Raw genomic sequence first — 26,561 nt, forward strand, 5'->3', positions numbered from 1 at the left:
TATTCCAGTAGAAAAGAAGATTCAAAAATAATTACATTTGACTTTGGGATAGACTGTGTTGTATTGTTCCCAGGCAGAAAGTCCTTCTTAATTTTTTTTCAGCTACGTGTAAAATTGGTTTGCATTTATTAAATATATACTAAGGGGGGTAAGAACTTATTCTATGTATGGTAAAATATATAAGTAGTGTATATTATGGCTAGAATTCCACATATACATTCCTCCAGACAGGTAACCATTAATGAAAGGAATAATAAAAAAAGTAGCCATATTTAATCAAGAAGTCATTGTTTTTAGGTCTTAAAATGTTATTTCCTTTATAGGGCTATAAAAAATAAAATGCTGAATTCTTTCAAGAACACTTTTATTCATTAAGCTAAATGATTTTGGTTTCTCATAAAATAATTGTAAACTACTTTAAAAAATTATGGATCTTAGCGCTTAATGAATGTCTTCATTATTTGTTGTCTGTCACATTCTATGGCAAAACTTACTAAAAACTGTGATACAGTGAAAAAGCAAATCTGAACAAAAGCAATCTTGTTTTATTATGTTCAAAAGAACACTTTTAATACAACTTTTTAAGGAATCAGTTACAACAAATGCAATTTTCTTCAGGGCTATTGTTCAGAATGATGAACCACATATATACACATCTGGCCACCTGAAAAAAGAATCCAGGAAAATTTGAAGATACTCCCACAGAAACAACATTTGATGAATAGAGCCTTTTATCATCTTCTCTATACCCCTACCAAAATGAAAGGGCAAAACATCTCTGAAAATTTGTAGAGCAGTCACATATTCATTGCAAACCACCACCAGAGATGCTTAACAGGACACTATATCCTACCAACTTGTGATTGCAAACAAGTCAAAGGCTTATATTATGAACAATATCACCAGAAAACAGTAAACTTCATGATATAAATGTCAGCTTGACATGATGTATTAGTGTGCCACCCCCAAATATTATTCTTTAGATGTTGTGGCAGAGAATGTTCACTTCAGCCAAATATATAGGGACTTGTGACCTTTTGAATTTAACATACCACAGGGGACACTACCCAGTAACTATGAAAAAAATTAACAAATTCTAGATTAGAAGCTCCAATACTAAAAAGGCATTAAATAAATGAAATTGCCCAGGGTTTTGGTGAGTTACAAGCTTTGGAGGCTCTGTATGAAAACTGTAACATAACTCATTATGGCTTCGGGCACTAATAAGTTATGAGGCACTCACATGTATGAGATAAACCCCATAACTTACTGAAGTCTATATCATCCCTTCATTATATCTAGGGACATGTGAAATAGCTGAAATTCAGCTCGAAACCCCAAAGTTCAGTAATAAAAGTGAATAGATCAGCACATCTATTGATTTTGCTGTCTTTTTTGTGCTTTTAGTTATCCTACTCCCTTTCACATCTGAAATATTCCAGCATTTTTCTTCTGAGCTCTTTCCATGTTGGCATTTTAGGTATGCTGGCAAACATCAAAATAAACTAGGTTTCTTCTTTGCTCTCCTCTCAAGAGTAATTATATTAGTCAGTCAAAAGTCTTAGGCACTTTATTCTTCTAATAAATAAATTGTATTACATTATTTCAAAGGCAGAGCTGTAGAGACAAATTCAAAATCCATACTCACATCATAATGTATGATGAAAAACAAAGAGAAATATGAGAAAACAATGTGGTGTATTTTAATATTGGTATAAAAGGCTGTGTTTATTTGATTAATGGGGAACTTAAGAAATGGAATAATAGAAATCAATCGTTTAAGAATTCATCCTACATTGCTCATTTCTGAAGTAGGTACGTCTTCATGTATCTAGGCCTTAAAAATCATCAAAATGTTCACAGAAAGACTTTAATTTTTTTATTTTTAAAGCTTAATGTGAATTTGCAAGAACTGGGAAAAGTAACATAGGTAATATTACTGTTACATTAATCTAACAAAAATAACATAGTCTAAGAAAGATAAAGATAGCATAGGTGATACTCAAATTTTTAAATAATAAAAAGATCCCAAGAATGTGATTCAAGAAGAGATAATGCAAATTATAGGAGCTTATAGATTTCATCATTTAGTGTTATCTCCAAAGAAAAGCTGAATGGAAATATTTGCCATTCTCAACAAATTTTTGCACAGTACTTGGCAATGTCAGGAGTTATGCAGCAAACAGATATTTAGTGGAATATCAAGATCAAGAGGAGTCTAGGCACAGATGTTTTCACTAGCTAACCGGGATGAAAGAGTGGTTTAAGCAGTGGCTGCTTGGAGTCAGAAACATAGGAGGGCTTAAAGACTGTGAACCCAAGGCATTAACCAGGGAGTCCAACATATTGTGGTTAAAAATAAGCCAACGATTTTGGGACCAAAACAGTGAAGCAGATTTCGATTGACACCTGTGTGAAATACACATTTATGGAAGCACAGTCATGAGGAAAGGCTAAAGTTGAAGATCTCTATCTATCTTCTGTCTCTGTCTCTATCTCTATCTCTCTCTATATATATTTGTGTATATATTTAGATATATAAATACTATGTGTATATATATAAATATACTATGTGTATATATTTATATATTATACAGTATATGTATGTATGTGTATACAAATATATAATCCATATACATATATGTACATATTATATGTTTAAATTGTGTGTACATATATATACATATATATTATATACAGTGATTTATTGCATATTTAACATATATTCTGGGATTTTACATTTTCAGGATAAGACCCCAAATCTGACTAAGCTTATGCTCTTAGCCCCTGCTGTACTCACTCCAAAATTTTGATCTACAAACTGTTAAGTGCTTAAATGCTTTACATATGTCATCTTGTTTACCCCTCACAATAATATCCTGAGATATATAATATTTCCACCACTTTACATATGAAAATAACTTGCTAGAGGTCACATATTTTAAATGACCGAGTTTGGAGCTTACATCTTCACATGCATTTTTTTTCTGTTTTTATTTGTAACATTTTAAAATTTATTTTACAGTGGCATTTCTTCTTACTTAAAATTTCCACTTGGGGAGATTTAAAAGCCGTGTTATTTGGCAACTGGCAAAATTATCTGTCAATATATGAATCACATTCTCAAGGGATAATTTAAAAAATAATAATATATTGATTGGGAAAAAAATAAAATTAAACTAATGATAAAACAGAAGCAGAGAAGTTAGTATGTTGCTTCTTGTTTATTGTATTATCCATTGAATTTTGGAAAACTTAAGTTGTGAGTATCAAACCTGAATCTTAGAAGAAAATAATTAGAAAAGGTTAGGGAGATGATATAAAAGAGAAGACTCATATATAGCAATTTACCCATTGTTCTGTACTATTTAAGAAAAAGTAATTTTGTTAAAGTACTGGTCGTGGTCCTTCTTTATACTAATCAACTGGAGGGGACAAATCTTTCCAGTGTTCAGAACAATGTAGAAAAATAAAATATCTGAAAACATCACTCTTCATAAAACATTCCGTATGTCAGTTACACAGTGTAGTTCTGAGATTGTCTCACACTTGTTTTTCTGCCACAAAAATACATTATGTTTAATCTTTGTTTTCTTTTTTGTTTGAACTCAGATATTGTGATCACCCAGTTATTTTCTTTTCACTTAAATTAGAAGCATAGATGCAGGGGCTTCCATGACAGTTAAATGGATGAGTTACAATATCAGTTAGAAAAATATCTGGACATTATGATAAATGATTTTATAATTCCTCAGTTAAAGGAAATAATTTACTCTCTGAACAATATCTTTATTACCTTAGGGCATTTAAATTTAGGTGGGAACTAAGGTAAATTTCCTTACTTTCCATGGAAAAGTAAGCCCACTGGTAGTTGTAAATTTCTATATAAATGTTAAACAATAAGAGTCGGCTAAATGGCTAGCAAGTGTTGGAACTTTATAATGCAATGAATTTGGCATATGAAAAAAAATTCTACACCCCTTGGAAGTGTGTTTTATGCTTGTTATAGCTGCATAAAATACAGATTGAAAATAAACTGAACATTTTAACTTTGGCAACAGGGGAGAACGTATCCATTCCTATTTTTCAAGGAAAATAATACCATGCATTATTGACTCATGCATGGAATAAAATATATAATAGTTTGAAGCAGGGCTCTTACAAAGAAGCTATCCTTTGTTCCATACAGGGACTCAAGGAATAAACATAAAGGAAATATTCTTTATTTATCCAGCTCATTCTTTTTCTCCTAACACTACTTTTATGTATCAGGAGATCCTTGCAATATATTTGCTATTGTTTTAAACAGTTCATCACCTTCAGAATGATGATGACTACCACATCTTTAGGCATGCTGGTGCTCATAGGATATCTTGGGTCATATACTCACAGAGAGGCAAACAAATCTGAAAGCCTTCCACTTATAGGGAACATTCCTCTGATCAGAGCATCGGATGGAATTCTATTTTGAAAATCTGGAATTCTTTAACTTCCTTATGTATCAGTTAAAACTTACAAGAATCAAAATCAGTAGTGCTCTTCCATACTGATATGCTGGAAATCATATAATCTCTAACAGCTAAAGAAGAGGGAGATTCATCCTTATAGTTCATTACAAATTATTAATCAGTCTTGTTTAAAAATAAAATAACGTCTGTAGAAATGCATTTTACTTCTGTATGAAACAAGTTAGAAAAATTTATAATTGGTAGCACTGTTTTTTTCAAAGAGCTGTACACAAATATTGAAAGAATTCATAATAATTTTGTCTTCTTCAAAGATATTGTTACTTCTGAATAACTCAAAAGAACTCCTATCCAAGACATACTTATGTTCTTTAAATGGGTAACGGTTCTGCTGAGAACATAAAACTCTTGAGTCTCTGGAGGGCCACTTTCCTCAAAGACCTTATCCATCTACCCAAATTTTCTATACAAATATTATCTTTCTTGTGAGCTATGACATAAAAAGAGTGGGGAAAAACTGAAAGCTATCACAATCACAACAGCATATGGAAAACGTAAGAGCATTTTTATGTGCACTCTTTTATGTATACAGGTTATTGTACATATTTATATCTGGACAATGGTTCATATTTTCAGTATATTAACTTTGCCAAGCTACAATAAGTTGAATGGCATGATCCTTTACAATAAGTTGAATTGCATGATCCTTTCTTGATAGTAAAGTGTTCAATTTCTCCTTTGACTTTAAAGTTTTATTTTTTACAGAGTGTATTATATATAAAATCTTTTTATTCCATTTTCTCATTTTTATATTATGAATTTAGGTGAATAATTATGTTACCTAGATTTATCAATTGATGAACTATTTAGCTGAATTTCACATTATTTTCACAGAATATGATATGTAATCATTTGAAAAAACATTTTTTTTTCTTCTTTTCTTTTTTTGAGACAGAGTCACACTCTGTTACCCAGGCTGGAGTCTAGTGGTGGTGATCTTGGGTCACTGTAACCTCCGCCTCCTGATTTCAAGCAATTCTTGTCCCTCAGCCTCCCCAGTAGCTGGGATTACAGGCACCTGCTACCAAGCCCAGCTAATTTTGTATTTTTAGTAGGGACGAGGTTTCACCACGTTGTCCAGGCTGGTCTTGAAATCCTAACCTCAAGTGATCTGCCTGCCTTGGCCTCCCAAAGTGCTGGGATTTCAGGCATGAGCCACTGTGGCCAGCTAATAAACTTTTTTAAAAAGAAAGTTGCCTTAAACTTTTACTTATATAGAAGATTTTTAGAAACTATGAATTTATATTTACATTATTTCCATTATCCAATATTATAGAAATGTCACTACTACATACTATAGTGTACCTAATTCTTATTATGATGATTTTATAAATTTTGACATATTTTAAATTCTGCATATTTTTACTTGAGGGACACTGGTTATTATAAACGAGTTGGTATAATTATCATCTTGCTATTTTTATGGAGAAGTGAATGCTACTTAAAAATTTTTGTTTATGTTGACTCGTATTTTAGGTAGGGACTTTTGGTAAACCCTTTTCTCTTGTTTGTTTTAATTTTCTCAACTCAGAGAAAAGGATGCCATTTGTTCATGTCTATAAAATTAAAGTCTCAAGACCATTTGATGTAGACTACACATTGTGTGGGAGTCAGGGTTATCTAGTCGGATGACTGGATAATTGATCTTAGCTATATGGCCTCAATTTTTTCCGGCATAAAATTAGCTGTTTGGAGATTTCCTTCAGTTTTCAAGATTTGAAATTCTACTTAAATATGAAAAACAAGACCTGAAATATGTGTTTGGTACTTCTGCATCTATGAAACGTCTACAAATTATTCATCATCTGTCCAAGTAGCCGTTTGCTATTTAATCAACAAATATTATTGAGCATCTGCTTTATACTTGACTATGTACAATATAGTAGAATTAAAAAAAAATAGTAATCAATTTTTGCCTTTAGGAGATTCAGTTCAATTAATGATAAATTAGTTAATTATTTATGAATATTTTAATTATCTATTATATAATCACTGTTACGTGTTAGGCACTGGGAAAAACATTAAAAATTAAAGAATAAGACAATTCCTTGAACTGAAACAGATAAAGACTGTATTCTAATAGGATAAATACTATGAATTTACGATGTACTGTGGGGGCACAATAGGGAGTATAACTAACTCTGAAAATGTCCTGGAAGCTTTGGAAAAAAGTGACATTTGAGATAAGCATTACATGTACCCTAGTTGGAATTTTCAGTGTTAGTGTACTCGCAGGGCCATGAGAGCTATTAAAGGCTCTTCATCTGTGGGCTGTTGTAATCACATGTGCCTTCCAAGAACAGAAGTCCTAGAGCACTCTTTCCCTTCCTTACACTTCAAGGGATTTTGGGAATCAATTTTGATTATTCTTTTTAAAGCTATGATTTCCCTGGGTATTCTTCTTTGATTCCCATAGCAAGTAGTGTCCTCTGAGAGTAAATAAAAGCAAAATAAAAAATGAGGCATTGTCTTATGTGGGTAATTTAAATTTCAACACATCGAATTTCAACCATATCAAGAGATATGGAAGTCCATAGATCTCTGCTCCAAAAAGTTTCTCTGTGGTATGTATCATTTCTTCACATCAGGAGCTTTGTCCAAGTGAATGGAACTTAAAACATTGTGGTTAGATGAGATTCATTCAAGATAATTTTCTAGCTAATTGAACTTGTGTGAATTTACATTTGGGGCCTACTTTGAGTTTTTTCATTGATGCTATATTTCACATCTTGATTTACTCAGCTTTCCTCTCCTGTCTGTTAATCATTTACTAGAAAGAATGTGACAGTTGGTTTCTTTCAGGTCATACTTGCACTGCATATTTGGGCTCTTTTCTTAATTTACAAGGCATCTGTCTTTATCTTATTTCCTGGGTGATTATTCTAGTATGTTCAAGTTGCTGTTCTGCTCTGTCTTCAAACATCTGTGTTTCTTTATTTTAATTAATGTGATTTTTTTTCCTGGTCGTGGACTTACAATTTTTGTATTGTCTTTTATTTCTGATGTCAAGAGTTTCTATATATAAATAGTAATATAAGGAAAACATTAAAACATGTCCCCCTTTTTATGTGTCTATTCTGTAAGAGTTCAAAGCTTGCTTGCTCTTACTTTAACAGACTACAAATTTGTTTATACAACACTTATTAAGAAGTTACCATGCTAAAGGCTACTAAGGACTATAAAAAAGGAAACCATGTAAAGTCATTGCATTTGTTTTTTAAGGGCTAGCATAACCAGAAAACAAAACTTTATTTGAATATAAAACGAGAGCATGTATAATTCTAAGCATATCAAGAGCTACTGAACCTTATATAACAATATAAGATAATGTTTGGAGATATACATTGTTATAAAAGACATAAATATTTTGGTTTTAATTGACATTGAGTAATAACGGTTGAAATAATTTTGTAAAGTTAGGATAGTAAGGTATTTTTTAAACAATGGTTATCTCTTATCTACTCTTCTGAAATGTATTTTAAAAATCTAATATTAAGTGAAGTTTAGAGATAGCTTCATAGATTTTTGATCCAATTGATTATATACTGATGTGTTCAATTCCTTTTTCAGTCATGAGAACTTTCCACTAAGACTAACATTATTGGAAGCACAATAAAAATGAAAATACATATTGTAATAAAGTTCTCAGCAATAATGTAATCTAGAAAACATACACCAATTGCATGATTAAGTACAAAAATGGCCAGATCAATAACTTCATTTCTGTTTTTATTTCTCTGGGATGCCTAGAAGTTGGAAGATGATTCTCATTGTGGATATTTGCTAATAAGTCTTTGTGGAGAACCCATAGGTTAAATTCTTTGTGATGAAGGTTTTTATTCTTCTAATACAGACTAAGGCAGCACTGTCTAAATTATTATTGTAACGCATGCAGGTGTAAGCACTCAAGTTTGATTTCCTGAAGTAGAGCTTTTGTGTATGTGTGGGACTTAAAAAAATCTGTTGGCATGCAGTCTCCCAAGTCTCCATGTTTATCTGTTTGTGATGTCATATGCAAAAGCAACAAATCAGTGGATGCATCTACTAAAGCAGATTTTAAAAAAAATCACCCAAGCTTCTCCTGAACTATAATTCTTGCCTAGTAAAACATACATATATGAAAAATGTATAAAAATCAAATCAAAAATTAAGACAGTAATAAACACTTTAGACAGATTTCACATACCTAAGTCAAATGGTAGTTCTAACACAGGCATTTATATGGGCCAATTATATAAAGCCATTTTGAAAGGCTGCTTTTCACCATGTTTCTTCAATTCTTCAGAGTCTGCGGTGATGACCAACATCAGATACTATTAAGGAGTCTTCAAGCGTGTAAAATAATATGATTTCACAATGATTACATATTCACTCTACAGCTGGCTGAGTTTTTACATCTCCATTTGTCATTGACGATTGTGTCCAATTAAATGATTAGCTTTTAAAAACTGCTGCACATTATGAGTGTGAACTTGTGTTCCATTGCACTGAGTGATGCAGAAACAAACTCATTACAGCATGTAATTCACCCATATTAAATAACAAACAGATGGCTGCTGTAAATGAGAGCTCCTTTTTCTCTTCAAAAGTGCCAGGAAAAAGGTGTTTTTATTTATCTTTGTTTCCAGCTTCTTTCTGTTTTCTTGACAAGTGGGCAGCTGGTTGCTGAGGTTTTCAATTGGTGCAGAAGAATGAAAAGCCTGTTTCCATTAATTTCCCCATAAAATAAGTCTTTGAATCATTTCTGTTATAAATGCAAGTGCAGTAGCAAGCTGCTGCTTGATTAATTCACTTATTATGAAGATTTCATCTTTTATAAGAGGGCCTGCAGGTAATTTATCTTGTTTAGTAAGATTAGAAAAATGTAATTATCTTGATACCTTTGGACCCCTCTCATTTTAATTGTGTTCCCATAAATTTCAAACATAAAGATGGGAATTTTTTGTGCACAAATGTTCCAACATGTGGTCGAAAAATGTGCTTTAAGCCCTGCACAAAAATGTATCAAGTAAAATACATTAGGACTGTACTAATGCAGGAATGCATACAAATAAAGCTAGCACAGAATTATAGTCGTGTGTACAAACAAATATTTGAATTTCTGGTTCCCTAGTCACCAAACAGCTGGGGTGAGGTAAAGGAATTTGGGATTTGTTAGACTTTTTTTATATGTCCCTGGGGAAATGAAATCTGTCTTATGTATACTAATAAAATTAAAATTGTGTTTGTCTTCAAATCTTCCAAACTCAAGTCAATTTCTACTGGGTATATATTTCATGGACTCTCTTCCCATCACTTCCATTATGTCTCTTAGCATCTGTGGATAATTGGATACATCTCTAATTTTACAATGATAATATAATTTATTTAAAAAAACACTAAGTGTATGAAGAATCTTCTATTTAACTTCAGATATTCTGTCTTGCAGGGATCATGCTGTCAGGCTTGGAAGAAATACCTCCTTTTCTCCAGTCTTTCCTTCAGTTCTGCTGGAATTGGCATTTTAATATCTTTAATTTCATTTGATTTATAGTATTTAATTTGCCTTTGCTAGATTTGTAAAATATGTTATGATTTTCTACTTAATTACTTCTTATTAATCAAAGTATATATTTCTTTCAGCCTATGCTCATTGTCCAGGAAGAAGGAAATCACTAATACTGTATTCTACAACTATATTATTTCAGAGTTTTCAATCCTTTTCTATGGCTACATATAAGAAAGCATTTCATTCTTTGTGGTCCCTTGAATGGCATTGAACTGGTCAAGTGATTGTTTTTGATAAGTTCTATAGATCTGTGCTTAGGCACTTAACAGGATGCAATCAGGGTACACTGAGATTTGCTATGTAAGAGCCTCTGTAATTAAAATGATGTATAGTTACATCTCTAAATATAATGGTTTCTACTGATAAAACACTTTTCTATATATTTCAATAAAATTGCAGAGCTTATAAAATTGAATTAATATAATGTGATAGAAACACAGATGTTATTGAAATAAAATGATTGTATGTTTGTATATTCTTCTTTATCTTTGTGATTTACTCATTTTATTGGATAGTTACAGTTGCTGCCTTTAAACATGTCTGCCCTTAGGGCTCTGTGTACAAAAACACGAATTGAGGATATTTTTATAGTATTATTGGATCAATTTTATAAATATATGCTAAATCTGGTTTATGTGTAAGACTCAGTGTCAGGAATAAGAAAGTTCCTCAATTTATTAAGCTGTGCTGCAACCCCACCTTATTCTCTGGGGGTCTCTGTTACCTTAGCTGTAAGTGCTGCATGCTGTATACTGAATCACGTTCCCTAAAATTCATAGATTAAAGCCCTAACAACCAATGTGATAGTATTTGGAAGTGGGATGTTTGGGAGGTAACTAGGTTGAGATGAGGTTAGGAAGTTCCGGTCCCCTTAATGGGATGAGTGTTCTTACAAGAGAGGAAGAAAGGCTAAGAGACTGGAGCACTCTTTCTCCCGTTACCATGTCAGGACATGGTGAGAGAGCAGTCATCTCCAAACTAGGAAGAGGCTCCTCATTAGGCACTGAACTAGCCAGCACCTTGATCTGGAACGTCCGGCCTTAAGGGCACTAAGAAAATCAAATTCTGTGGTTTAAGCCACCTAGTGTATGATATTTTGCTACGGCAGTCTGAGCTTGGGCAAGACACTATTGCTGCCCTGCCTCCACAGCAGACTTTTTGTGAGGATTAAATAAATCACTTTGAAGAATGAATTGGTTTCATTAGTTATCTTTTTTTATGCTTAAGTCTCTCAAAACTCCCTATCAAATATTTAGTGTTAAATAAAATTGTAAAATGTTTATCATGGTTATTCCATTCATTATTATTCACAAAATTGATGAAAAGACAAAGGAACTAGGCATTTTCTAAAGGGTACATATGTCAGGGTAAATATACATCTGCTAGAATTCATTAGCTTGTTGCAATATTAATGGAAGAAATTACAATTTTAATAAGTATTTTATCTCACTTTTTGATCATTGGCAAAGATGAAGTGGTAGCTTAGCATTTTCCTCTAATTTCTTCCTCTAGTATTGGGGCCTAGCTATGTCTCCCTTCATCTGTCTGTCTTCTTATATTATTACCTAATGCTAGTTAATATCTTCTTTATGTCTTAATTTAGAAATTTCTATGGGGGAAGATGAAATATTTGTTCTCAAGACTTTCAGAGCTTCTTTTTGATTAAGATAGAAATAAGTAAAAGAACACTTCTGAGATTAAATCTTAGAGCAGGCAACACTGAGGGGAAAAAAAACGCCAAAATGATTCGTTATCTAAACTGTAAATTTGATCATGACCCTCCCCTATCCTTAGGCTGTTGCATAAAATGAAATCTGATTTTAAGGAGAGTGGAGGAGAAAGTTACAACATTAAGGAAAGGAATTGAACAAGGCTGTCCACTGGCTCAGGGACTGCTTCGAGGATATTTCTCATATCTTGTTGAAACAAAATCTCAATGTGTCAGTATAAAAATTGGTTCTGAATTTGAGCCAATGGGTTTGAGATAAGTTTCTGCCAGATTGAAAAAAAAAAAAAAACAGTAAGTACAGGAGAAAAGCAAAACAAACAACCACAAAAGAAGTCTGCTAAAATGAATCCAGAATGCTTAATGTACCTTATTCCTAAGAAGGCTGTCTGTTGACAGATGTTCATTTCCAGTTGGAACACGGTATCATAAAGGCAGTGTTTCATCATACTCATGAAAAACATCTAAAAGCAACAAAGAAAACAGTATATAAAAACACAACTTCATTTCTTTACAATCCCAGGCTATGAAGCAGGTGTAAGGGCTGCTAAAATCAACAGAGAAACAATAGGGATAGAAAGATGCCATGCAGGGAGAAATGAAAAGAAAATGCCACCAAAAGAGAAATAAACAATGAAAGGAGCTAGCAGTTGCAGCTATCAGATGTAAAAATTGTACTGCTTAAGGGTAAATTTCAACACTGAGATCCAAATCTATACTTACTGCTTCCAATAGCAGGAATAGAAGTGGCAATAGTAGTGCCCCTCCAGTTAAGTAGTCGTTTCAATTTTCCATTACAATGCAACAAGCCACCCTAAAAGTTAGTGGCTTAAAACGACAACACTTTATTATTGCTCATGATTACATGATGAGGGCAGATCGGCATCTCTTCTTTACAGGTGGTGTCAGCTGAACTGCTGAGATGACAGAGAGGGACAAAATGACCTCATCACATGGCTGTCAATTGTTGCTCCCAGGGCCTTGATTCCATTGGTCCTCTTCCCATGGGCATTTGAGATTCCTCATAGAATAATGGCCTTAACATAGAGAGGCCTCTGACATGGGGGCTAAATGCTACTGAAAGGTGGAAGCTGCCAGGTTTCTTGAGTCTTAAGCCTGTAATTTTCACATTGTTATGAGCATGAATAATGGGATGTGTGATACATTGGGGCCCCCAAGTAAAATCTATCATACAAAGCTGTTTGAAGAATATCATCGACAAGCCATACTCGCAGGAAGCGGTCTGACTATGATGCAATGGATAAAAAGAGACTCTCTGAATAAAAATATAATAATAATCAGGGAAATGCAAATCGAAACCACTATGAGACATTACCTACATCAGTTAAAATAGCTAGTATCAAGGAACCAAGAGAAAACAAGTGTTGGTGAGTTTGTGGAGAAAAGGAAACCCTCATACACTGTCATTGAGAATGTAAATTAGGGCAGCCATTATGGAAAACAACATGGAGGTTCCTAAAAAAATTAAAAGTATAATTACCATATGATGCAGCAATCTGTCTTCTGGGTATATCTCCCTAGGAAATGAAATCTGCACCTCACAAATACATCTGTGCCCCTGTGTTTATCACAGTAATATTAACAATAACCAAGATATGGAAACAAACTAATGGTCCACCAATAGATGAATAAATAATGTGATATATATATATGTGTGTGTGTGTGTTTATATAACACACACAGGAATATTATTCAGCCTTAAAAAGGAGATTCTGCCATTTTCAACAACACTGATGAATCTAGAGGACATTATTCTAAGTGAAATAAGCCAAACACAGAAGAAAATTATTGCATAATCTCATTTATATGTGAAAACTAAACAAACAAAAAGCCAAGAAAATCTTGCATACATAGAAACAGAGAGTACACTGTTGGTTATCATAGGTAGAGTGTGGGAGTCGATGGGAAAATGAAAATCCAACAGTACAAAGGTTGAGTTATGGAGGATAAGTAAGTCTGGAGAGTTAATGAGCAGCATGAGAACTATAGTTGTTGTATACTGTGAAATTGTTAAGAGTAGATTTTTGTCACTTTTACCACCACGACGAAAAGGGAACTATGTTAGATGGTGGTTGTTCATTTGTTTGACAGTAGTAATCATCTGACTATGTATATGTACATCAAAACATCATGTTGTATACCTTAAATGTGAACTATTAAGAAAAAATTAAAAAGCGTATTCTCTGTATCCACTGGCTAAGGAAGAACAAAGATTTTTAAAAAGACACACTAAATCACCTCTCATAAGGAAAGTTTCAAAATTTTGGAATAAAGCCCTGTTCAACTCCACCACCATCAATAAACCACACTGAATATGAACTAAAGCAAATGGCTAGAGAAATTTACCTCTTTTAATGGTGAATATTTTTTAAGCCAATACAGTATCTATACAAAGATGTTACATGTAAAAGAGGGAAAGGGTTAAGATAAAAAAAATAATAATTGTAAGGATCCTTACCAGAAAGAAAAATAGTATGGAGTGAGTAAAATCTGTGAGCAAATTTAAACCATGAATCATTACAACAAAACAAAACACATAAAATTCCCAATAATGCAATCATTCCTATAAAGCAAATTCACAAAAATAAATACAAGATCTGAGAGAACAGATGGTGAATTAATAAGAGGAATGCAACATGAAATGCACATGAAAGTATTCAAAGCATCTGTCTGAGAAATAAAGGAAAAAAGAAAAAGAAACAGAGAATAGACATTGTAAAACAATACAGGATATAGAAGATAGAGATGACAGAAATGTGCAAATAAAAAATAAAATAATAAAAGTAGATCAGATGAAAAATGACAGCCTAAGGAAACAAAGAATGACTATTTAGAGGATGCAAAAAAGAAAACTGAAACAAAGGGAGCAGCTTAAGAGTAAAATTCAATTTATTTGTCAAAATGTTACACAATGAAAATATGGAGGGTCACACTGTATACTAGGATGAATGAGATGAGCATGACAAATATTCATTCATATTCTAGGAGTTTCTGTAATTCAAATGTGAAGAAATTATTTTGGCATTAAAACAAAAATATTCTCATTTCTATGGTCAAAACTTTTATTCTGTGCTCAGACTAATATATACAGAATTCTCAAAAGAAGAAAATATAACCAATATTTTATTCCCGACAAACTGCCACTCAAATTCAATGGCAACAGTTTCAAACATGCAAGAACTTAGGGAATATCATTGCTACAAATTATTATTGAGAAAGTTGCTAAACAACAAACTTCAAACAATAGACATGTGATTGCAAAAACTACAGCAAAAGGACTGAGAGTAAGAATGAATGCATTAACAAAGCAACTAGACTGAAACTAATGTGTGCTTTAAATTTACAGAAAAATAATGTAAACTTTATAAGCCCTGACAGTACAAAATAATAAACATGTTTTCCCTAATCCCACACTTTTATATACAGTCCTTTCATTAAATTTTTAAAGGTAAATTAAACATTTTATTTGGGAATCACAGAATTGCAGTTTGTGGAATACAAGCAGATCAGAGTGGTCTTTGGTTTGTCCAAAGAACAAAGACAAGGGTGGGATTTTGTTAGAAATAAATTTTATGTATTATTTTGAAAGAAATCTCACTGTCACTAGAGAAGCTTTGGGGAGCGGTCAAGCTCTGATTGGTGAGTGATAGTAACAAGTAAAACTAGTCTTATAGCCCAGGCAGTTTTTTTCAGCAGCTACCAGGTAAAAATGGTCTGATGGTTACAGCAGGCTATTTCAGCACCTGAGTTTGCAAAAAGTTCAATTTTTGGAGCTGGTATTATGTGTCTGGAGTGCTTTTTCCTCTTGGTCCATTCACTCTGATTCAATTGGGTATAATAAGAATGACCAAATTTGTGTAATCAACTTTCACAATGCCAAACATATGTTTTATTCCTGACTGTATTCTTATCACAACTCAGAGAAATATAGTTTTTGTGGTTATACAAATATGAAATGTAAATTAAAAACAAACAGAATAACAATCCAAAAAAAGAAAAACTACAAATCTAAGGAAATAAGAAAGAAGTGATACAGATACAAAGGTTAAAATTAGCACATAGGAGAATATACTAAAACTTATACATCATTTCTGAAAGTTCTTTTTGCAGAAAAACTAATAAAACAGTTAAACCTATATCTATCTATCTATCTATCTATCTATCTATCTATCTATCTATCTATCTATCGTCTATCTATCTATATATATATTTTAAACTTGAATGAAAAGTGTGGAAAAATTAAGAAAATTTTAGGAAAATATGCTCTACCAAAAGTGACTCCTGAAGTTAGCAAACTTAAACAAATTTCCCGAGAAAAATTAGAAAAATATATGAGGACTATAAAGTCCTGTTTTTTACTTTTCCTTACCTCCTCGCTTCCTCCCAAAAGCACCAAACTCAGATATTTTCACCAGAAAACTCTACCAAAAATTTCAAGTTGAGATAAATTCAACAGTTTGTCCAAGTTATATAAATCTTCACATACTGCATGTCATATATAAAAATGAAAATAAAAACCTTCTAAGTTCTTATTAAACAAAAATAATCAATATTAAAACCTTACACGTTTCAATGGAAAAAATAGCTACAACCCAAACCCCCAATTCCTATTATGATATTTACATAGAAATTCTTAGTAAAATTTTCAAGAAGAGAATGCACATATTACAAGTGTAGTAAACCATGACCAAATAGGGTTTATTTCATAAACGTAATGATGTTTCCATATTAGGATGTATCTTATATTACCCATCATTATTGTCTTAGGAGAAAAAATATTATCCCCATACACCCTGGTCAGGTATTTGGGAAAGTTGAAAATCCTTTCTTGATAAATAAATTCATGTTAGATAAATATCTTTTAAAAAAAGAAGAATGTAAACACATCTCAGTACAAGAATGAGCAACATACATAAAATATGGCATCTCTCCATTACATGTCATCCCCTCTAGAAGGCAGCACAGAGAAAAAACCTCCTTCTGTGATCCTGCAGTTCCATCCACAAATCACTGCATAACACGGACTGTAACAATTGACAAGTCAATCTTCTCAAAATCAGTTATGATATCTTAGTCATCCTTTTATTACATTATCTACCTGGGTTTCTGGCCTGTACGCCTCAAGAACTGTGAAGGGATTGGTATATCCCCCCACTTACAAGCTAACGAGTTAGCCTTCCATAGTCTCCAGGATACTGATAGAAGGCACCAGGCTCCTGGGTGGAGGAGACTCCTGGCAGAGAAGGCAACATGAGATCAGCTCCTTGGTATTAGTTACCCTTGCTTCCATGTTGCTCAGCAGCAACATCAATGGGACAAGCTGGATGTCTGCACACACAGTGGGTTGCATTTCAGGAGAGGAAATTTGATTTCATAATGGTATTCATCATGCCTGCTTTTTGTCCCAAAAGGAAGAATTATTTTTATTGCACAGGACCATAAACATGACTGGCTTTTGTTCTATCTATATCATCCAAAGCTGTTTACTATAAAAGAAAAAATCTTTAAAAGCATATTCTGTAACAAAGAGCAGTCAATATGTTGCTTTAAGAGATGAGCAGAAATACATGGGACCGGCGAAGATGTGTCAGATATTGTATTTAAGATTGTCTAAAAAGACAGAAATTCGATCAAAATGCATTCATTTCACTTAATTAAACAAATATTTTGTTTTAGCTCCTATTGTTTATTCTTATAACACAAATTGACTTTGTCTCTGTTGTCCCATTAGTGGGAATGTTACACAAGGACTGAGGTCTGTTACTAACCCCTTGAATTGAATATATTAGAAATTAGTTTTGCTGTTTTATGGAAGTTTCATAAATAGAGGTGATATTTGATACAACATGATTCTAAACAAAGATACACTGGGTGCATCTTGCTATGTAGCCCATATTTTATAAGACATATCTACAATATGAAAGAGTCTGTGGGTTAAATTTTTTATATTTATTTTTTTCCATATTTTATTTCACTGGTCAAGGGAAAATGTAGCTAAAGAAAATAAGGCTTAATTTCAATGACTTGTTAATAAATATTTACTAATTTGTGTTTTAAAACTATTCTTCCAGAAAATGCTAACCGTAAATGGAAAACTTGCTCCACTAGCAGGTGTTTTCTAATTGAAAATAAATGAAAAATGTAAAATAACTGACAGTCTTTGTCAAAATAATTAGGTTATTTGAAAATATTTGTGTAGCACACAGTAGGTTTTCAAAACTGACTGAATAAATATATGAAGGAATGAGTTGCTGATATATAAATCTGCACGTTGTCCCTGGGTATCTTAGCTGGTAAAATAAATATGGACCAGAGGCTCAATCATCTTCTCCCTTATATCAAAACTACACATTGTATAGATTGAAAACACAAAGGTAAGAAAGTTGATAGCTTCAGAAGTCCTTCGAGAATAATGTGTAAATGGGAACTTGGCCCGACTACCCCTCCCCCATTTAATAAAAATTTTACTGTTCAAGCTGTGAATCAGCATAGCCTATAAACTGTAAGCTTCTCTTCCATGCCTTTGATACTTGACAGCCATAATTGACATATATAAACTCTTTCAAAATGACTTCTGGAAATTTTCTCTGGGGTAAAGATTTTAGATACAGAGGCAGATGGCTAAGTACACACATTAGGATATTTTGCTTTTGGCCTGCTTATTCTGAGTTTGTTATATTTTGTATTGTTTGAGGATTGCCAGTACAATTAATACAACAATTAATAGGGCATCGCATTCTTCACTATTTTATGCAGGATATGATGTCATCCAAATCTAACATATATAATACATATAATGTCAGAAATAAGTTATTTTTGGGTTGTACTGGCTTTACTCTCTCCACGGAAAGAAAAAACATCTAAATATTTTATAGATATTAATTGAAATCTTTCAAAATATTCAATAGAAGTGAATCATTTTTCTCAAACTTGAATGGAAATATTAACATTTGAGATCTGATATATTGAGTGTTTTATGCAATTTTTATTTATTGGTGGAAATAAATTATCACATTATTTTCCAACCATATCAGAGCTGAATCTTACAATATATGGAATTTCTAAAAGATATAATTTACCCTTCTATTGTCAGTGTATGAGAGTACTCATTTTTCAAAGATGTTAGTAATGATCTTAAAATGGGAACATGAGTGTACTTTTTCCTCTAGTCTTTTGATTTTTCTGTTTTCCATTCTTTTTCTAATGATTGTGTGTGTTTAATAGTGGAAATTTTATATTTTATATTTAAAATATGTAGTAATAATATTATTTTATAAGTATATTTCAAATGTTATTTAAACTTTTCATGGGATTTTAATGTTTTTGTTGTCATTTATGTTTCTAGCTTCGAATTTACATTAATCATGGTTGAGCAATTTGAAGTGACCTCTGAACAACAACAACAAAAACTACTAACTCCCCTGAGACCATATGGCCAGAGAAATTTCTCAGTAATCTTTTTACCACCTATGCTAGTTTTTTAAGGCACATCTTTGAAATTCAACAAGTGTATTTTATCTTAAGTTCCAGGTTAATATAATGATGGCCTGACCCTTAACAATCCTTTATTAGATTAAAATATGTGTTTGTTAGAAAATTCAGTTTATTTAAAATGGAATTGAATGATGTCACTTTTATTATTTTCTGAAAAATACATAATTATTATAGTTTCGATATCTCTGTATTTCAGAAGTTTCTGTGTCCTTTAAACATATTAAAGAAAAGTTGAAGCAGCATTTTTCTCCTAAAAATCAAAATTTGTTATTATTTAATTTTTCTATAATTAAGTGTAATAGGCAGTAAAGGACCTTAATTCATTTAGTACTGAATACATCTATATGACTGAATATTACTGTCAATCATTGACTGAGAATTTTATCATACACTCCCAGCCTGTTTTTAAAAGTTGTATTCTGAGATGAGTGGGATTAGAGAATACAAAGTTATTATGATGGTAACATATCATATATGTAACTCTTTTCCATCAATACTGTCAGTACCTGCTTTTTAATTAGTTGAAGTGTTTCACAATGTTTTATAATTTTACAACAATAATTTTACAGAAAAAAGTGCATATATCTATCATCTGTGTACAGAAGAAAAATATACATGCATAAATCTCTCTCTCTCTCTCTCTCTCTCTCTCTCTGTCTCTCTCTCTCTCTCGTTTTCCCTTTTTCTACATTGGCATCATGCTTGGATGGTTCTCACTATTTCACTCCAAAAAGACAAGTATTTTTGGCATTTGTACTCAGGATGCCTACATTAGCTAACCTAGACGACCTTTTATGTATATCACCACCAGAGGGACTTGGACTTTTCATAGTGATAGTATTTTACCCCATACAAATTACTGTATTCACTTTGCAATACAGCTGTACCGGCAGGCTTTAGCAGTTATAGTGTTTCTTATCCTCCTACTGAAAAAAAAAATGTTTTAATACTTATTCTTAAAGCTCTTATTGCTATTTATGCCTCATCTGGCCACCAGATGTACTTCCTATGAAAGAGGTTGTTTAGGCATTTGTTATGTTGGCTATTAGGTTTGTTCATATCACTACTCAGCATGGTTCACCCTTTATAATACGGTGCTTCGTGACATTTGAAATTCACAAACTTGCATTAATTGTCTCTTTTGATCATCTCCACAACTCTGAGAGTTGGCAAAACTGATACCAGGGTACACGTATTTTTTTCAGATGCTAAAACTGAGATGCAGAATGATTAAGTAATTTATGAAAGAGGCAACACTTATGCAGTTGAGCTGAGAGTAAGAACTCATGTGTCATGAGTCTTAGTCTAATGCTCTTTTGACTAAAATCATTCTTGAGAACGCTTTGCAGCTACTTTCTCTCATTTCATAGTCACTTGAATTCAAGGCCCTAATAAAATTATAAAAGCCATTCTTTTTACTTAAGCTAACTCTGGACACACTAACTCAATGCAGGTGTATAACTAAAAACCATACAACTGAATGAATGAATGAATGAATGAATGAATGACGAATGAATGAAAATAAATAAATATTATCGTCAGGCCATAGTGTATATGAACCTAATATCTAGAGGTCATCAACCATTTATTTATTATGCACCTTGCACTGTACTAAGTATTTAAAACATTGTGTTATTTATTCTCTATAAAATTGGTTAGATGTCATCATTCTTAATTTACAGATGATACCAGTATGTTCAAAGAGTTCAAGCAGCTTGTCCAAGGTCATGCAGTGAAGTGGTAAAGTCAAGATTTTAATCCATTTCTACCGGCTTCCTAGGTTATAATTCTTACTACATTTATTTTTATTAGTGTGATAAGTGATTATATGTATAAGGCACTGCTCTAAAAAATTATCAATATCACTAATTTAATACTCATAATACTCCTTTGACTGCAGTATTCCAAGTGCCAGCACTTTTTATTGTATGTAGAAAGTCTGGACTCCATTCCAGTTCATTAATTTTTTTTTTCGAGATGGAGTCTTGCTTTGTCACTCAGGCTGGAGTGCAATGGGGGTAATCTTGGCTCACCGCAACCTCCACCTCCCAGGTTCCAGCGATTTTCCTGCCTCGGCCTCCTGAGTAGCTGGGACTACAGGTGCATGTGACCACACCTGGCTAAGTTTCCTGTTTTTTGTTTGTTTGCTTGTTTGTTTTTTAAGTACAGACGGGGTTTCACCGTGTTGGTCAGGCTGGTCTCGAACTCCTGACCTCAGGTGATCCACCCACCTCTGCCTCCCAAAGTGCTGGGATTACAGGCATGAGCCACCGCGCCTGGCCCATTACAAACTTTTAATAAATCCCATGCTTGTTTTGCTCTCAGGCACATGCAAAATGCCATTAAAAAAACACAATACCAGCCTGGTCAGCATGGCAAAACCCCATCTCTACTAAAAATACAAAAAATCAGCGAGGCGTGGTAGCATATGCCTGTAATCCCAGCTACTTGAGAGGCTGAGGCAGGAGAATTGCTTGAACCTGGCAGACGGTGGTTGCAGTGAGCTGAGATCGCGCCACTGCACTCTAGCCTGGGCAACAGAGTGAGATTCTGTCTCAAAAATAAAAATTAAAAAATTAAAAAAACTTAAAATAGCCTTTTCCTATGGACTTTTAAACATTGTACTTCTCTTTATAATACGTTATTGCTAACTTTTAAAGTTTTAACATGATGTAAATAAATAACATAATTGTCTTTATTGGTCTACTCACATCTCTGTGATTCTAGTAGTTTTCCCATGCTACCTAACTTCATAGTTTAAAACAGAACATTCCATAAAATTCTTTTATGTGAGTGATTTTTGTTGATGACTTACTGAGCTACCTGTAGCTAATAAAAATATCCTCATGTTGTGCTATAAATAGTAAAATGTGATAACTCTAACAGGTAAAATCTGCCCATTTTATACTGTCAACAGCAGAATGTGATAAGCATAGCAGACAAAACAGTGCCCATATTATAAGAGGACATGAAGAAAATTTGAGTTTAAAGATCTCATTTGAGGTTTTTATGAATTCATTAGCTTTTAGCACAGTTGCATTACTTTGTAAAATTTCTTCATTATTAAAACTGGAGTTGTTCCATATACATATTAGAATAAGCTTGTCCATGTTGGCAATAAATGTTGCTAGCATTCTGATAGGAATTGCTTTAACCCTATAGCTCAATTTGAGGAGAACTGACATATTTTCTATTTTGGAACTTCCAATCCATAAACACAGTATATCTCTCCATTTTTTAGGTATTCCTTAATTTCTTTCATCTTCGTTTTGTTATATACATATATATATTAGAGACAGAATCCTGCCCCATCACCCAGGCTGGAGTGCAGTGGCGCGATCTCTGCATTTTGTAGTTTTTCACAAATAGATCCTATACGTGTGTTTTTACTTGTATACTTTGGCACTCAATTTTCTTCACAGTGAATCTAAATGGTCTTCTATTTTTTAATTTGTTTTCCATACTGTTAATATATAAAAATGTGACTTTTTGTGTGTGACAATATTGTACTGTGCAGTTTTGCTGAATTCATTTATTAGTTGTAGGACATTTTTGTAGAAATTCCTTAGGATATTCTATGTAGACCAGAAAATAGGAATAGCTTTAGTTCTTCCTATGCAGTTTGCATGACTTTTATTTGTTCTTCATGCCTGATTTCAGTGACTAGAACTTCTAGTACTAAGTTGAAAAAGAGTGGTGAGAACAGTCATCCTGGCCTTGTCCCAGTCTTAAGGTGAAATGATTGAGTCTTTCATTATGAGTATGCTGTTAGCTATAGGCTTTTTTAAAATATGCTTTATGAAGTTGATGTAATTCTCCTTTATTTTTAACTTGTCAAAGTTATTTTTATAATGAACTAGTGTTACCAGAGATTGAATATAATTAAGAATGGGGAGGGAAAATGAAAGTGTGTGTGGTTATTAAGGGCAACATAAGAAATTATTTTATTGGACTGTTTTAGTTTTTGCCTATGGTGTTGGATACACAAACATATACTGGTTATAAAATTTGAGAACATTATCACACACACACATAAATGAGTACAGGTAAAATATCATGAATATGGAAAAGGTGGGTGTATCGTGTCACTGTCAGTATCATGGTTGTGGTCTTATAGTTTTGCAAAATGTTACTTTTGGGAGGAAATTGGCAAACTGTACAAAGATAGCTCTGTATTATTTCTTATAACTACCTGTAAATTTACAGTTATCTCAATACAGCTTTCGATTTAAAAATTGGAATTTAAATTATTTTTTGATAGAACTTTGATCCTTTGCAACAGAATTACCAAGGCAATTACATTCAGATACAGACATTTTATATGTGTTTTGTTTAGATTCAGTTGCTGCATTAATTAAAAGTTAAAATTGGGCCAGGCACGGTGGCTCACGCCTGTAATCCCAACACTTTGGGAGGCCGAGGCAAGTGGATTACTTGAGGTCAGGATTTCAAGACCAGCCTGACAAACATGGTGAAACCCTGTCTCTACTAAAAATACAAAAATTAGCCGGGTGTGGTGGTGGGCACCTGAAATCCCAGCTACTCTGGAGGCTGAGGCAGGAGAATTGCTTGAACCTGGGAGGCGGAGGTTGCAGTGAGCTAAGATCACGCCATTGCACTCCAGCCTGGGCTACTGAGCAAAATTCCATCTAAAAAAAAAAAAAAAAAAAAGAAAAAAAATTAAAATTTACAGAATGCATTCGTTTAAATTATTTCAAACATATAAAATACATTCATCAATTAAAATTTTGAGTCTATTTATATATTTATAATGTTTAAAATGATTAACCATTAAACATAAATTTAATGTGGATACTATAGCCTTACCTGACAACTTAAATAAGGTGGCTTCATAGATGTTAAAACCAGCTGAATAATAAACTCATTAGCGTCTAGAATATTTCGTATGTGTATGTATTTTGTGAGTTTCCGCTATTTTTTATTTCTTCTTGAATATGTCTACTAGGTGACTGCAATATAGTTTAAGAATGAAGTTATTTCATTCGCTTTTGGTCTTTCATTTGCAAAGCACACATCAACCAGTTTATAAAACCAATTTCAATTTAGAAAAGAACCTCAAGCTATCATCTCCACCCCTTTCTGGGAAAAAGTCAAACATAATGCCAACCTTCTCAAGAGAACACCTCCAAGCAAAAAAACGTCACACTTAGGCACAGCCCTCAGATAAGGTACTCACTAATGGCCAATGCCTGCAGGAAACACTGAACTTTTTTCTGGAGAAATAGGATTACACCACTGCTGATTTTTGAGCTCTGCCTGGTTAACCTAGAGAAACTAAATAGCACAGTTCCCTCTAATGACTCAATTAACAGGTAGTTTACTATGACTGAGTTAATTTGAAGCTGATAGTTCATATTTCTATACAAATCTTTAGTCTGATCGAGTAATACGCACAAATCAGATGTAATCTAGAATTTATTGAACAATGTCTTCCAGTCATAACACTAATTATTGTGAATGTGAGCTATAAAAAATAAATCATTTATAGTAAGAAAAACATAGAGAATAAAATCATAAATTTAACTGATACATGCTTCCTCTTTCATAGCTACATAGTGAAACAAGGGGCTAAAATTTAATTGATATCATTAAGTGAAAGCTAGACTTGTGTAGCTTGTATCAGTTCAGGATGAGAAAATATCTGGGGATGCTAATTTGAAGAACTCTATTAATGTAGTACCCATGGAAATGGACTAGGAAGAAAGAAAGAGAGAAAGAGAGAAATGAGAAAAATGAATTTGGCCTTAGAAAAGTCACATATAAATTTACATACCTTTACTAATACATTTAAAAATTTCAAATAATTGAGAGTGATGGAAAAGAATAATTTATATGTTTAGAAAATATGGCCAAACACAATGATTCATGCCTGTAAACACAGCCCTTTGGTAGGCCAAGTTGGGAGGATCACTTGAGCTCAGGACTTTGAAACCAGTTTGGGTAACATTGGGAAACCCCCATCGCTACCAAAAAAAAAAAAAAAAAGATTTTTAAGTTAAAAATAAAACAATAGCTGGGCTTGGTGGTGCACATCTGTGATCCCAGGTACTGGAGAGGCTGAGGTGGGAGGATTGCTTGAGCCTAGGAGGTCTAGTCTGAAGTGAGCCATGAGCATGCCACTGCACTGCAGTCTGGGCTACAGAGCAAGACACAGTCTTAAAACAAAAACAGAACAAAACAAAACAAAAGAAAATATGAATATATCTGTGCATAGATATGGTCACATTGAGGATTCTCGTAAAGGGAATCCCTACTTCTCAATGGGTGGTGCAAATATTTAGAGTCCTTGGGGTATCACTACTTTTGTATTTTCATATAAAATAGGGAAACAAAATATACTACATATGAAATTAAAGCTAGTTAATCCATATAACATTTGACCTAATGACAATTCTCAGATATACAATGAGAATGTCAATAAAAAAAAGAATGTCAACTAAACACTGTTAAAAAAATTAGATTTGATTTATACAAAATGCATGATGCAGTACATGTAAGCAAAGCAAGAGAAGTTCTTTAAGTAAACAGTAAGTAAATTGTAGTCTTTGACATAAATGAAATTCATTTTGACCCTTTACTATCTAATTATATGGTTATGAACAGCTGCTTTTTATTAATAGTATTAGAAAATTTTACAAACCACTCAACAAGTCTAACTTTGCTATTTAACTTTCAAAAAATGTATTTTTGAGATAATGGATTTTTAAGTCAAAGAAATCATACGTGAAATATGGAACAAAAATGTCATTCCAATAAAAAAATAAGAAAAGAATAGGGAAGGAAAAATATTTGTTTTACTTCAAAGGAGACATATTCTTCAAAGTCATCTCAGTATATTCTAGCACTTGCCATTACAGGTAAAAGTATAATTCCCATTGGTCAGAGATTTGAACGAATTGAGCAATATTTGATTAATTTTGGTTTTGTTTATAATATCCCACATAGCATTGAAAAATTTGAAAAAAGTACACACTTAACATATTTTATAGCTCTAGATATTGGTTTAAATAAGTGTAAAAATAATGATAAAATATATCACGATCATATAATAACAGTAAAGTGTTCTGTAATTTTTGATTGATTATCTTCAGCTACCTAATTATAATGTTTAAACATAATATGTCAAACTCATGGTTCATTTCTCAATATAAATATTGTTTAAAAAATGATATTGACAATTTAATTGCTACTCTTTCAGCAGAACAAAATCTCTCCAAATTCAACA

General features: G+C 32.7%; 1 long non-coding RNA gene across 1 annotated transcript in view, besides 1 other annotated feature; it reads left to right on the forward strand.

The window, feature by feature from the left end:
- LOC105370255 (uncharacterized) overlaps positions 1 to 26,561 on the forward strand; it is a 62,160-nt gene that overhangs the window by 9,769 nt on the left and 25,830 nt on the right. The window contains exon 2 of the long non-coding RNA XR_942058.2: positions 20,998 to 21,095. This is a non-coding gene — a long non-coding RNA (uncharacterized LOC105370255). The remainder of the gene's footprint in view (positions 1 to 20,997; positions 21,096 to 26,561) is intronic.
- Positions 8,415 to 9,829: an enhancer, noted in NCBI's record as "VISTA enhancer hs540". NCBI's record gives its function as "enhancer in: forebrain[6/9]" and the evidence as "EXISTENCE:transgenic organism evidence [ECO:0001131][PMID:17130149]".

The sequence above is a fragment of the Homo sapiens genome, chromosome 13, assembly GCF_000001405.40.
Source record: "Homo sapiens chromosome 13, GRCh38.p14 Primary Assembly".
NCBI classification, from domain to species: Eukaryota; Metazoa; Chordata; class Mammalia; order Primates; family Hominidae; genus Homo; species Homo sapiens.